The sequence below is a fragment of the Homo sapiens genome, chromosome 19, assembly GCF_000001405.40.
Source record: "Homo sapiens chromosome 19, GRCh38.p14 Primary Assembly".
Classification (NCBI taxonomy): domain Eukaryota; kingdom Metazoa; phylum Chordata; class Mammalia; order Primates; family Hominidae; genus Homo; species Homo sapiens.
Window position 1 is genome coordinate 44760776 of NC_000019.10, and position 14201 is coordinate 44774976.

The 14201-nt window shown below is 48.7% G+C and overlaps 1 pseudogene; it reads left to right on the forward strand.

Annotated features, from left to right (window-relative positions):
- Positions 4201 to 4325, forward strand: LOC124900431 (uncharacterized; annotated as a pseudogene).

Here is a 14201-nt window from a genome sequence, read left to right on the forward strand (position 1 = left end):
GCGTGAGACAGTTTTACTTAGTGGTTCCATGGGGCCCCTCTAATGGACCACATCTGTGGTTTTGTTGTTGTTTTTTTGGGGGGGGATGGAGTCTCACTCTGTCACCCAGGCTGGAGTGCAATGGCGTGATCTCGGCTCACTGCAACCTCCGCCTCCTGGGTTCAAGAGATTCTCCTGCCCCAGCCTCCAGAGTAGCTGGGATTACAGGCACCCACCACCATGCCTGGCTAATTTTTGTATTTTTAGTAGAGAGGGGGTTTTGCCACATTGGCCAGGCTGGTCTCAAACTCCTGACCTCAGGCGATCTGCCTGCTTTGGCCTCCCAAAGTGCTGGGATTACAAGCGTGAGTCACCGCGCCCAGCCACACATCTGTGCTTTGACTCTGGGGTATGCCTCTGTGTGTCAGTCGGGGTTTGTAATGGTTTCCTGTTGCCACTATAACAAATCACAAATTCAGTGGCTTGAAATGATGCTAACTTTTTTTTTTTTTTTTTTAAAACAGAGTTTCACTCTGTCACCCAGGCTGGAGTGCAGTGGCACAATCTCAGCTCACTACAACCTCCACTTCCCTGGTTCAAGCCATTCTCCTACCTCAGCCTCCCAAGTAGCTGGGACTACAGGCGTGCACCACCACACCCGGTTAATTTTTTGTATTTTTACTAGTCACAGGGTTTTGACATGTTGGCCAGACTGATCTGGAACTCCTGACCTCAAGTGATCCACCCACCTCAGCCTCCCAAAGTGCTGGGATTACAAAAGGTGTGAGCCACCGTGCCAGCCAAACAATACTAATTTATTCTCTTACAGTTCTGGGCATAAGAAGTCCAAAATCGGCCGGGCGCGGTGGCTCACGCCTGTAATCCCAGCACTTTGGGAGGCCGAGGCAGGCGGATCACGAGGTCAGGAGATCGAGACCATCCTGGCTAACCCGGTGAAACCCAGTCTCTACTAAAAATACAAAAAATTAGCTGGGCATGGTGGCGGGCACCTGTAGTCCCAGCTACTCGGGAGGCTGAGGCAGGGGAATGGTGTGAACCCGGGAGGCAGAGCTTGCAGAGAGCCGAGATCGCACCACTGCACTCCAACCTGGGTGACAGAGTGAGACTCCGTCTCAAAAAAAAAAAAAAAAAAAAAGAAGTCCAAAATTGAGGCCAAGCCTGGTGGCTCACACCTGTAATCCCAGCACTTTGGGAGGCTGAGGCAGGAGAATCCCCTGAGACCAGAAGTTTGAGACCAGCCCGAGCAGTATAGTGAGACCCTGTCTGTACAAAAAAAAAAAAAAAAAAAAAATTAGCTGGGCATGGTGGCAGGCACCTGTAGTCCCAGCTACTCGGAAGACTGAGGTGGGAGGATTGCTTGAGTCTGTGAGTTCGAGGCTGCAGTGAGCTATGATCGCACCACAGCACTCCAGCCTGGGCAACAGGTGAGGCCCTGCCTCAAAAAAATAAATAAAAGAACCATGGTGTCAGCATCTGCTTCTTGTGGTGAAGGCTTCAGGCTGCTTCTACTCATGGCAGAAGGCCGAGGGAACCACACGTGTGTGGGGATCAAGTGGCAGGAGGGGAAGCGAGAGAGAGACAGAGAGAGAGAAGTGCCAGCCTCCCTTTAACACCCATCTCTCATGGGCGTCAATGGGGAGAACTCATTCACCCGCCAGGGAGGACATTAATCTATTCATGAGGGACCTGCCCCCATGGCCCAAACACACCTCACATCAGGCCCACCTCCAACCTTGGGAATCAAAGTTCTTTTTTTTTTTTTGAGACAGAGTCTCACTCTGTCGCCCAGGCTGCAGTGCAGAGGCCCAATCTCGGCTCACTGCAGCCTTTGCCTCCAAGGTTCAAGCGATTCTCCAGCCTCAGCCTCCCAAGTAGCTGGAATTACAAGCATGCACCACCATGCCCAATTAATTTTTGTATTTTTAGTAGAGACGGGGTTTCACCCTGTTGGCCAGGCTGGTCTTGAACTCCTGACCTCAAGTGATCCACCCGCCTCGGCCTCCCAAAGTGCTGGGATTACAGGTGTGAGCCACCGTGCCAGGCCCAAATTTCTTCATTTTTTTGGACACAGAGTCTCACTCTATCACCCAGGCTGGGGTGCAGCAGGAGATCCTAGCTCACTGCAACCTCGACCTGGGTTCAAGTGAGGGGATCAGATTTCAACATGAGGTTTTGAAGGAAAAAATATTCAAACCATAGCACTGAGTGTTTTTTGTTTTTTATGGGGTTTTTTGGTTTGTTTGTTTGTTTAATCTGTGGGGGCTTCTCTGGGTCGTCATGTGAATTGCTGATAGTGAACATTTAATCCCCATCACTCTGTAATGTAGTTGCATCTGTGGGGCCAGCTGCCTTAACAACTTCCTGGATGGCATCACTGGGGTCTGTGAAGGGCTGTGTGTGTGCACACAAACACTCATGCACACGCACTTCTGGATGGCCTGTGTGAGCACTGACTGGGTGACCTGTGTGTGCCTGGCCCGCCTGACTGGGACGTCCATGCGTCTTTCTGTTTGCAACTATGTTTCAGTGTTTCTGACCCAGACCCTGTGCTCTGGTATCTCTGAAGCTGCCAGGCTTGAAGGGCATGTTAATGTCCTGTTGCTGGCCAGGCACGATGGCTCATGCCTGTAATCCCAGCACTTTGGGAGGCCGAGGCGGGCAGATCACTTGAGGTCAGGAGTTTGAGACCAGCCTGGCCAACATGGTGAAATCCCGTCTCTGCTAAAAATACAAAAATTAGCCAGGTGTGGTGGTGTGCACCTGTAATCCCAGCTACTCAGGAGGCTGAGGCAGGAGAATAGCTTGAACCCAGGAGGCAGGGGTTGCAGTGAGCCAAGATCACGTCACTGCACTCCAGCCTGGGAGACAAAGCGAGAGTCCGTCTCAAAAAAATAAAAAATAAGAAATAAAAAATCCTGTTGCTGCCATGCAAACTGCCACAAACTAGGTGGCTTAACACAACAGAAATGTATTCCTTTACAGTTCTGAAGTCCGGAAGTCCAAAATCAAGGCGTCGGCAGGACCGCACTCACCAAAAACTGTAGGGGAGACTCCTTCCTTGCCTCTTCCAGCTTCTGGTAGCCCCAAGCATTCCTCCGCTTCTGGCTGCATCAGTCCAGTCTCTGCCTCTGTCTTCACATGATCTTCTCCTTTGTGTGTCCATGTCTTCTTCTCTGTCTCTTATGAGGACATTTGTCACTGAGCACAGTGGCTCACACTTGCAATTCCAGCACTTTGGGGAAGGCAAGGTGGGAGGATCACTTGAGGCCAGGAGTTCAAGACCAGCCCAGACAACATAGCAACACCCTGTCTTGAAGGGAAGGGAAGGGGAGGGGAAGGGAGGAAAGAGGGAGAGGAAGGAAGGAAGGAAGGAAGGAAGGAAGGAAGGAAGGAAGCAAGCGAGGGAGGGAGGGAGGGAGAGATTATTTCTATGTTTCCTGGTCAACATAGTGAGACGCTGTCTCTACAGAAGATCAAAAAATGTGTTGGCTGAGCATGAGCCTGGTGGTGTGTGCCTGCAGTCCCAGCTACTTAGGAGGCTGAGGTTCAAGCATCACTTTAGCCCGGGATGTCAAGGCTGCAGTGAACTATGATCACGCCACTGCATTCCAGCCTGGGTGCCAGAGGGAGATCCTGTCTCTTGTTTTGTTTTGTTTTGTTTTGTTTTGTTTTGTTTTGTTGTTACTAAGTCTCACTCTGCTGCACAGGCTGGAGGAGTGCAGTGGTGCAATCTCTGCTCACTGCAATCTCCGTCTCCCAGGTTCAAGCAATTCTCCTGCCTCAGCCTCCCAAGTAGCTGGAATTACAGGCATGCATCATCATGCCCAGCTAATTTTTAATTTTATTTATTTATTTATTTATTTGAGATGAAGTCTCGCTCTGTCGCCCAGGCTGGAGTGCAGCGGCGCAATCTCAGCTCACTACAAGCTCCACCTCCCGGGTTCACGCCATTCTCCTGCCTCAGCCTCCCGAGTAGCTGGGACTACAGGCACCCGCCACCACATCCAGTTAATTTTTTGTATTTTTAGTAGAGACAGGGTTTCACCATGTTGGTCAGGCTGGTCTCAAACTCCCGACCCCAGGAGATCCTCCTGGCTCAGCCTCCCAGAGTGCTGGGATTACAGGCATGAGCCACCGCACCCAGCCAATATTTATGTTTAATCCTTAGAGCAACTTGCAGGTTTGCTCCAAGGTTTAAACATGAACACTAGTCAAGCTAATTGTGCTCCTCTCCTCCTATGCAGTGGCGGCAAACAGCAGTGCCCTCAGTAGTATACGCAGCCTGCTGCGTGTAGCGGTGGCCTTAAGAGACCTTGGAGATAGCCCTTTCCGATGCATGTTCATGTTTCTGATCTTGACCTCACCCCAGTCTAGACTCCAGACAGGTATGCGAGGCGCCTTTGGAAAGCCCCAGGGTGTGGTGGCCAGGGTTCACATTGGCTAAGGCATCACGTCCATCCGCACCAAGCTGCAGAACATGGAACACGTGATTGAGGCCCTACCCAGGGCCAAGTTCAAGCTCCCTGGCCACCAGAAGACCCACATCTCAAGGCGGTGGGACTTTACCAAGTTTAGTGCAGATGAATGTGAAGACACGGTGGCTGAGAAGTAGCTCATCCTGGATGGCTGTGGCATCAGATACATCCCCAATCATAGGCCCCTGGAATAGTGGCGAGCCCTGCTTACTCACACCCACCAATAAATCCTCCTTCCTGTCCAAACCGAAAAAAAAAAAATATGAACGGGACACAGTGGCTCACGCCTGTAATCCTAGCACTTTGGGAGCTGGAGGTGGGCAGATCGATTGAGCCCAGGAGTTCAAGACAAGCCTGGGCAATATGGTGAAACCCTGTCTCTCCAAAAAAAAAACAAAAATTAGCCGGTATGGTGGTGCACGCCTGTAGTCCCACCCACTGGGGAGGCCGAGGTGGCAGGATCACTTGAGCCTAAGAGGTCAAGGCCGCAGTGAATCAAGATTGCGCCACTGCATTCCAGCCTGGGTGACAGAGAGAGACCTTGTCTCAAAAAAGGAAAAAGGTGGGGGGAAGTAAATTTTGTGCAATACTTATTACAGGCCATGGTGCTGAGTAAGAGCTTCATAAATGGGAATTGCTGTTGCCATCATCTAAGAATTTTTGACAGTTTTGAGGTCAGAGGAAACACAGTAGAGACGATGAGACCTATTCTTTGTCCTGGTAGAAAAATGGAACAATGAGGTCATAGCCTAGATGTGTGTTTTAGCTACATTTTTTTTATTCCACGGTTGTAATTAAATTAAATAATATAGCTGGGCATGGTGGCACACACCTGTAGTCATAGCTACTCGGGAGGGAGGCTGAGGCATGAGGATCACTTGAGCCCAGGAGTTTGAGACCAGCCTGGGCAATGTAGTGAGACCCCATCTCTTGAAAGAGTGAAGTGACTCGCATCTGTAATTCCAGCACTTTTGGAGGCCAAGGCAGGAGAATTGCTTGAGCCCAGGAGTTTGAGATCAGCCTGGGCCACATAGCAAGATCCTCTCTCTACAATAAAAAAAAAAAAATTATATTAGGTGCCTGTGGTCCTAGCTATTCAAAGGCTGAGGCAGGGTGCAGTGGCTCACGCCTGTAATCCCAGAAGTTTGGGAGGCCGAGACAGGCGGATCACAAGGTCAGGAGATCCAGATCATCCTGGCTAACATGGTGAAACCCCGTCTCTACTAAAAATACAAAAACAAAATTAGCGAGGCGTGGTGGCAGGCACCTGTAGTCCCAGCTACTCGGGAGGCTGAGGCGGGAGAATGGGGTGAACCTGGGAGGCGGAGCTTGCGGTGAGCTGAGATCGCACCACTGCACTCCAGCCTGGGTGACAGAGGAGACTCCATCTCAAAAAAAAAAAAAAAAAAGGCCGAGAGGAGTTTGAAGCTGCAATGAGCTATGATTGCACCACTGCACTCCAGCCTAGACAACAGAGAGAGACCCTATCTTTAAAAAATATATAAAACAAAGAGCCTGAGTAACATGGCAAAAGCCTGGGTAACATGGCGAAACCCTATCTCTACAAAAAAAAACGCAAAAATTAACCAGGCATGGTAGCGTGCATCTGTAGTCCCAGCTACTCAGGAGGCTGAGGTAGGAGGACCACTTGACACCGAGAGGTCAGGGCTACAGTGACCTATGACTGCACCACTATGCTCCAGCCTGGGTGACAGAGTGAGACCCTGTCTTTAAAAATATAATAAATAAAAGAAGAAATATAGTAGCTTTTTTTTTTTTGAGACAGAGTCTTGCTCTGTCACCCAGGTTGGAGTGCAGTGGCAAAATCTCAGTTCACTGCAACCTCTGCCTCCCAGGTTCAAGCGATTCTCCTGCCTCAGCCTCCCGAGTAGCTGGGATTACAGGAGCCTGCCACCACGCCCGGCTAATTTTTGTATTTTTAGTAGTGATGGAGTTTCGCCATGTTGGTCAGGCTGGTCTTGAACTCCCGACCTCAGGTGATCACCCACCTTGGCCTCCCAAAGTGCTGGGATTACAGGCATGAGCTACCACGTCCACCCAATAGTAGCTTAAATAAGATGAAAGTCTATTTTTCTCTCATGTAAAGGCCCAGCGAACACCCGCATCTAGAATAGTAGCCAAGGATGTCAGAGATCGAGGCTCCTTCTACCTGGTTGTTCTGCTGCCCTCACCTCACACTTCCATTGTGTGGTCCAAAATGGCTGCTCCAGCTCCCACCATCACATCCACATTCCAACCACTGGGAAGAAGAAACAAAAGTCAATCGCATGCCCCTACCTTTAAAGCTACAACCCAGAAGTCATACACATCATACACATCACATCCTATTTGGCCAGAATTTAGTCACATGACCACACCTATCACAACAGAGGCTGGGAAATGTGGTTTTATCTGGGCAGCATGTACCCAGCCAAAATTCAGGGGTTCTGCTACAAAAGGAAGAGGAGAGAATGGTTATTGAGGGGCCGCACATGTATCTGTCACAACCAGGGCTCTGCCACCAAATGACTAAATGACTCAAGGTGAAGTGACTTCACCACACTGAGCCTCAGTTTCCTCACCTGTAAGAAGGGAATCCCCCCGACCCCTTGGGGTTGATGGGTTGTTGGGCATTTAATGAGAGTGTGAGTGTCAGGCACTTAGCCCAGGACCTGGCCCATCATCAGTCTGGAGTGTGTTGGAAGTCCTCTTGTGCTTGTGGGTCTAGGCTGTGGGTGATGTGGCTTTTCGTGTATGAGAAACCGTCCCGGGGCTTGAGAGCTGAACCCAGCACTGAACTTTATAAGTAACTTCTCTAAAACAAGGGATCTGGCCTCTGTACACATGGAAATCCCCACTCAGCCTCCTAGACCTTGGGACTAGGCACATGTCCTTCCACAGTCTTCCCCCTTCCGCTGGAGAAAGGCAGACTCCAAAGATGGAGGAAGGGTCCTGCTTGGGGTCTCCAGCCTCCCAGCCTTCACAGAATTAAGCACTCATAGCCTGGCCAACATGGTGAAACCCCGTCTGTTCTAAAAATACAAAAATGTGCTGGATATGGTGGCACACATCTGTAGTCCCAGCTACTAGGGAGACTGAAGTGGGAGGATTGCTTGAACCTGGGAGGGGGAGGTTGCAGTGAGCCAAGATCGTGCCACTGCACTCCAGCCTGGGTGACAGAAAAATAATAATAATAATTCAATCACTCACCCCTCAACTTCCAAAGCTCCTCATGGGTGACAGTCCCAGCATTCCGGGGACAGCTCTAACGCCAGAAGTCATACCTTCAATGCATTTCTCGGGGCTCCACTCGCTTGTCCTCACCACATTGAGTAAACCCAGAAAGACAGAGGACATCTCTCCTAGATGCGTGTGTGAAATCTGCCAGATTCTAAATGCCTGGGACATTCCAAAAAGTGACTTTAAGAGCATTGGCCGGGCACAGTGGCTCACACCTGTAATCCCAACCCTTTGGGAGGCTGAGGTGGGAGGACAGACTGAGCCCTGGAGTTCAAGACCATCCTGGGCAACATGGGTAGACCCCGGCTCTAACCCCGAACATGGTGGCACGTGCCTGCAGTCCCAGATACTCAGAAGGCTGAGGTGGGAGGATCGCTTAAGCCCAGGAGGTTGAGGCTGCAGTGAGCTGTGACCATGCCACTGCACTCCAGCCTGAGTGACAGCGAGAGACTTTGCCTCAAACACACACACACAGAGTCAGGGGACGGTGGCTTACACCTGTAATCCCAGCACTTTGGGAGGCCAAGGTGAGTGGATTGGCCAGGAGTTCAAGACCAGCCTGGGCAACATGGCAAAATCCCATCTCTACAAAAATTAGCCAGGTATGGTGGCACCCACCAACTTGAGAGGCTGAGGTAGAAGGATTGCTTGAACCCAGAGGCAGAGGTTGCAGTGAGCTGTGATTCAGCCACTGCACTCCAGCCTGGGCGACAGAGGGAGACTGTCTCAAAAAACAAAAAGAAAAAAAAAGAGTGTGAGAGGTAAACAGAACACATCTTTTCTTTTTTTCATTGTTTGTTTGTTTTTTGAGACGGAGTCTCGCTCTGTCGCCCAGGCTGGAGTGCAGTGGCGTGATCTCAGCTCACTGCAAGCTCCGCCTCCTGGGTTCATGCCATTCCCCTGCCTCAGCCTCCCAAGTAGCTGGGACTACAGGCGCCCGCCACCACGCCCGGATAATTTTTTATATTTTTAGTAGAGATGGGGTTTCACCGTGTTAGCCAGGATGGTCTCGATCTCCTGACTTCATGATCCGCCCGCCTCGGCCTCCCAAAGTGCTGGGATTATAGGCATGAGCCACCGCGCAGCCGAACACATCTGTTCTTTAAGTGTGTTTTCAGACCTTCACATAAGCCAGACTTTTACTTTATAGAAAGGGAAACTGTGGCCCAGGGATGGAAGAGACTGACTTGGTGAATCGATAGGTCTGGGATTCCATGATTCACCATAACCAACCGACCAAATCTGTCAGCATTCTTGGGACAACCAGCATCGTGTGCCTCCTGATATCATGTACAGAGAAGGACACAGCATCACTTCTGTAACACTCCTGCCACCAGAATCTAATCACAAGGAAACATCACACAAACCCAAATCAAGGAGACCTTCTCCAAAAGAACTAGCCTATAATCTTCAAAAATGTCAATTCCATGAAAAACAAAGAAAGGCCAAGGAACCGTACCAGACTGAAGGAAACCGAAGAGATGAAAACTTTTTGCTATGACAGATAGTTTGGGGACAGCTGGCAATTTGCATACAGGCTGCACTGTTGGATACTACTGTCACTGAGAAATGTACACTGCTCCTCTGTACTGTGGTGGTGTAAGAGAACGTCCTTACACTTGGAAATGCAACTGAAGCATTTAGAGGCAAAGGGACGTAATGTCTGAAACTATTCTTGCAACTTCTCTGTAACTTTAAAATAATTTCAAAAGAAAAACAAATGATTTCAAAGTAAAAGTCATGGTTTAAGAGTCTGTGATTTTGGCCAGGCGCGGTGGCTCTCGCCTGTAATCCCAGCACTTTGGGAGGCCGAGGCGGGCAGATCACTTGAAGTCAGGAGTTCGAGACCAGCCTGGCCAACATGGTGAAACTCCGTCTCTACTAAAAATACAAAAAATTAGCCAGGTGTGGTGAGATGCGCCTGTAATACCAGCTACTCGGGAGCGTGAGGCACGAGAATCGCTTGAACCCGGGAGGCGGAGGTTGCAGTGACTAGAGTTCGCGCTACTGCACTCCAGCCTGGGCGACAGAGCGAGACTCAGTCTCAAAAAAAAAAAAAAAGAAAAGAAAAGTCTATGGTTTAAGGTTCTGTGTTTCCGAGTATCTCTAAGTCTGTGCATGCATTTGTGGTCAGAGTCTGGGGAGCTGGGGGCGTGAATGGGCTGCTTCAGACACTGCTTTGAGGGTGTGACCAGGACCTGAGGGTGTGGTTAAGGTGTAGGGGTGGGGCTAGGCCCTTGGGGGTGGGACCACAGTCCCAGAGGCGTGGCCAGGGCCTCGAAGGTATGGCCATAGTTTGAGGCGTGGCCGAGAAACTCCGTTCCCAAGGGAGGTGGTAACTCTGTGCTCAGAGCGCCCTCTTGTGGCTATCCTCAGGTCTCCACTTTTTATTCAATAGCTTTATTTCGTTTTATTTTTTTCAACTTTCATTTTAGATTCAGGGAGTACATGTGCAGGCTTGTTACCTGGGTATATTGCATGATGCTGAGGTTTGGGGTACGACTGATCCCGTCACCCAGGTACTGAGCATAGTACCCAACAGTTTTTCAACCCTTGCCCCCTCCCTTCTTCCCTCCCCACTTTAGCAGTCCCCAGTTTCTATTGTTGCCATCTTTATGTCCCTGAGTACTCAACGTTTAGCTCCCACTTACAAGTAAGAATGAGCGGTATTTGGCTTTTTCATCCAGCCTAACTGTTTTATTGAGATATAATGTGTATACCATACAATTTACCTCTTTAAAGTGTACAATTCTGGCCGGGCGCAGTGGCTCATGCCTGTAATCCCACCACTTTGGGAGGCCGAGGTGGGAGAATTACTTGAACTCAGGAGTTCAAGACCAGCCTGGGCAACACAGAGAGACCTCGTCTCTATAAAAATAAAAATAAAATTTTAAAAAGTGTACAATTCAGTGACTTTAGTATATTCACAAAATAGTGCAATTATCACCAGACTTTTTTTTTTTTTTTTTTTTTTGAGATGGAGTCTAGCTCTGTCGCCCAGGCTGGAGTGCAATGGTTCAGTCTCAGCTCACTGCAACCTCTGCCTCCCAGGTTCATGCCATTCTCCTGTCTCAGCCTCCCGAGTAGCTAGGATTACAGGTGCATGCCGCCATGCCCGGCTAATTTTTTATACTTTAGTAGAGACAGGGTTTCACTGTGTTGCCCAGGCTAGTCTCGAACTCCTGAGCTCAAGCAATCCACCTGCCTCAGCATCCCAAAGTGCTGGGATTACAGGCGTGAGCCACCATGCCTGCCTCACCAGATTCTATTTTAAAACAGTTGTTCACCCCAAAAAGAAACCTCATACCCATTAGTAGTCACTCCCTATTTCCCCTCAACACCCTTCCAGCTCTAGACAACCCATAACATACTCTCCCTTTTTTGTATTTTTGGACATAACATAGTTGTACATATTGTGGGGGTACATGTGATGTTTTGATACATGTATACAATGTGCAATGATGAAATCAGGGTAACTGGGATATCCATCACCTCGTTTATCTTTTCTTTGTGTTTAGAACATCACAATTATTCTCTTGTAGCTTTTTTTTTTTTTTTTTTTTTTTTTTGAGATGGAGTCTCGCACCGTCGCCCAGGCTGGAGTGCAGTGGCGCGATCTCAGCTCAATGCAAGCTCCGCCTCCCGAGTTCACGCCATTCTCTGCCTCAGCCTCCAGACTAGCTGGGACTACAGGCGCCCGCCACCAGGCCCGGCTAATTTTTTGTATATTTAGTAGAGACGTGGGTAACACGGTAAGACGTAGTAACACGGGGTTTCACCGTGTTAGCCAGGATGGTCTTGTTCTCCTGACCTCGTGATCCACCCGCCTCTGCCTCCCAAAGTGCTGGGATTACAGGCGTGAGCTACTGCGGCCGGCCCCCCCACCTTTTTTTTTTTTTTTGAGATGGAATCTTGCTCTGTCACCCAAGTTGGAGTGCAACGGCACTATCTCAGCTCACTGAAACCTCCACCTCCCGGGATCAAGAGATTCTCCTGCCTTAGCCTCCCGAGTAGCTGGGATTACAGGCGCATCTCACTGCGGCTGGCTAATTTTTGTTTTTTAGTAGAGAGGGGGTTTTACCATGTTGCCCAGGCTGGTCTCGAACTCCTGACCTCAGGTGATCTGCCTGCCCTGGCCTCCCAAAGTGCTGGGATTACAGCTGTGATCTGCCCAGGCTGGCCAGTGACTGGCTTCTTTCACTTAGCATTATGTTTTTTTTGAGATACTTCATTCCTATTAGCAGGGAGTGACATGCACCTGTGGTCCCAGCTACTCAGGAGGCTGAGGCAGGAGGATTGCTTGAGCCCGGAAGATCGAAGATGCAGTGAGCTGAGATTGTGCCACTGCGCTCCACTCTGGGAGACAGCACAAGACCCTATCTCAAAACAAACAAACAAACAAAAAATCATTCCTTTTAATGGCCAAAGAATTTTCCGTTGTATGAGCAGACCACATTTTGATTATCCATTCTTCAACTGATGGACATTTAGGTTGTTTCCACAAGTCTTTGGGTAGATATATGCTTCCAATTCTCTGGGATATATATATACGTAGGAATGCTCTAGCCCTGTGTTTAACATTTTGGGGAGCTGCCAAACTGTTTTCCAAAGCAGCTGCACCATTTTACATTCCCACCAACAGCGTAGAGGGTTCCAATTATTTCTCCATATCCTTGCCAACACTTGTGATTGTCTGTCTTGTTTATGACAGTCATCGTAGTGGGTGTGAAGCAGCATTCACTGTGGTTTTGATGTTCATTTCCTTAGTGGATCACATTGTGGAGCATCTTTTCATGTCATTCACTTCATTTGTATCCACTTTGAGTCAAATCTGGAAAAAGAGTTATTATAGTTGCAAAGTGGATACAAAAAAACCTGTCAAATCTAGGAAAAGAGTTCATATAGTTGCAGATTTTTTTTCTTTTTTAGACAAGATCTCACTGGGTCATCCAGGCTGGAGTACAGCAACACAATCATAGCTCACTGAAGCCTCAAACTCCTGGGCTCCAGCAATCCTCCCACCTCAGCCTCCCGAGTAGCTGGGACCACAGGCAGCATCCCAGCATGCCCAGTTTTTTTTTGTTGTTGTTGTTCTTTGTTTTTGTCTTTTTCAGACGGAGTCTCGCGCTGTCGCCCAGGCTGGAGTGCAGTGGCATGATCTTGGCTCACTGCAGCCTCCGACTCCTGGGTTCAAGCGATTCTCCTGCCTCAGCTTCCTGAGTAGCTACGATTACAGGTGCGTGCCACCATACCCAGCTAAGTTTTGTATTTTTCATAGAGATGGGGTTTCACCATGTTGGTCAGGCTGGTCTCGAACTCCTGAGCTCATGATCCGCCTGCCTTGGCCTCCCAAAGTGCTGGGATTACATGCGTGAGCCACTGCACCCAACCATTTTTGGTTTTTTGGTTTTGCTTTGTTTTGTTTTTGTTTTTGTTTGTAGAGACAGGGCCTTGCTATGTTGCCAGGTTGGTCTCAAACTCCTGGCTTCAACCGATCCTCCCACATCAGCCTCCCAAAGTGACAGGATTACAGGCGTGAGCACCACCCCTCTTCCAGCTTGTGGTGTTCACTGGTAATCTTTGGTGTTGTTTGGCTTATAGATGCATCACTCCAATCTCTCTGCCGCCATCGTCATATGTTGTGTGTGTGTGTGTGTGTGTGTGTGTGTGTGTGTGCACCTGTAACTGTATCCAAATTTCCTTTTCATAAGGATATCAGTCAGATTTAGGACCCACCCTAATCCAGTAGAAACTTATCCTGATCTGATTACATTTGCAAAGACCTTATTTCCATATAGGGTCACATTCATAAATTCCAGTGAACATGAACTTGGTGGGGAGGGGAATGATTCAACCCAGGCCACTCATTATTATGTGTTTATGACACACACTGTTGGTATTTGTGTCCAGTTCATTCACCTTAATTGCTGCGCAAGAGTTTATTGTGAGAGTACACCACAATTTATGTCAGGCTGCTGGTGGTGAACACCCACCTTGTTGCCAATTTCCTCCACTTCCAACAAGAATGCAATTAACATCCCTGAACATGTCTCTTGGAGTTTCTTAGGGCAGTATCTTTCAAACGGCCAAACAAGATCCATTAGTGGGTTGTGAAATCAATTTAGTGGGTTATAAACAATTTTTCCTTTAATGAAATGGAATTAAATAGAAGCTATTAGAGTGCATGCTCATAGTCGGAGTGAGAGCTCTTCTGTGAAACTTTTGCTTCAGGTGTCTATAGCTGTATTAATGTCCAGCAAAAGTGTTTACAAGCCACAGCTCTGAAAGAGGTAACTGGACAAATGACCTGTCCATTTGTCCAAAGGTCTCGTGGATGCTGCCAAATTGCTCTGCAATGTAGTTTGTCCATTTGCACTCAGAGCAGCTCCTTGCCAATACTTGCCAGTCAACACTTTGAACTTTTTCAGGCTAATGGGTTTTCATCCTGTTTTGTTTTTTGTTTTGTTTTGTTTTGTTTTGTTTTGT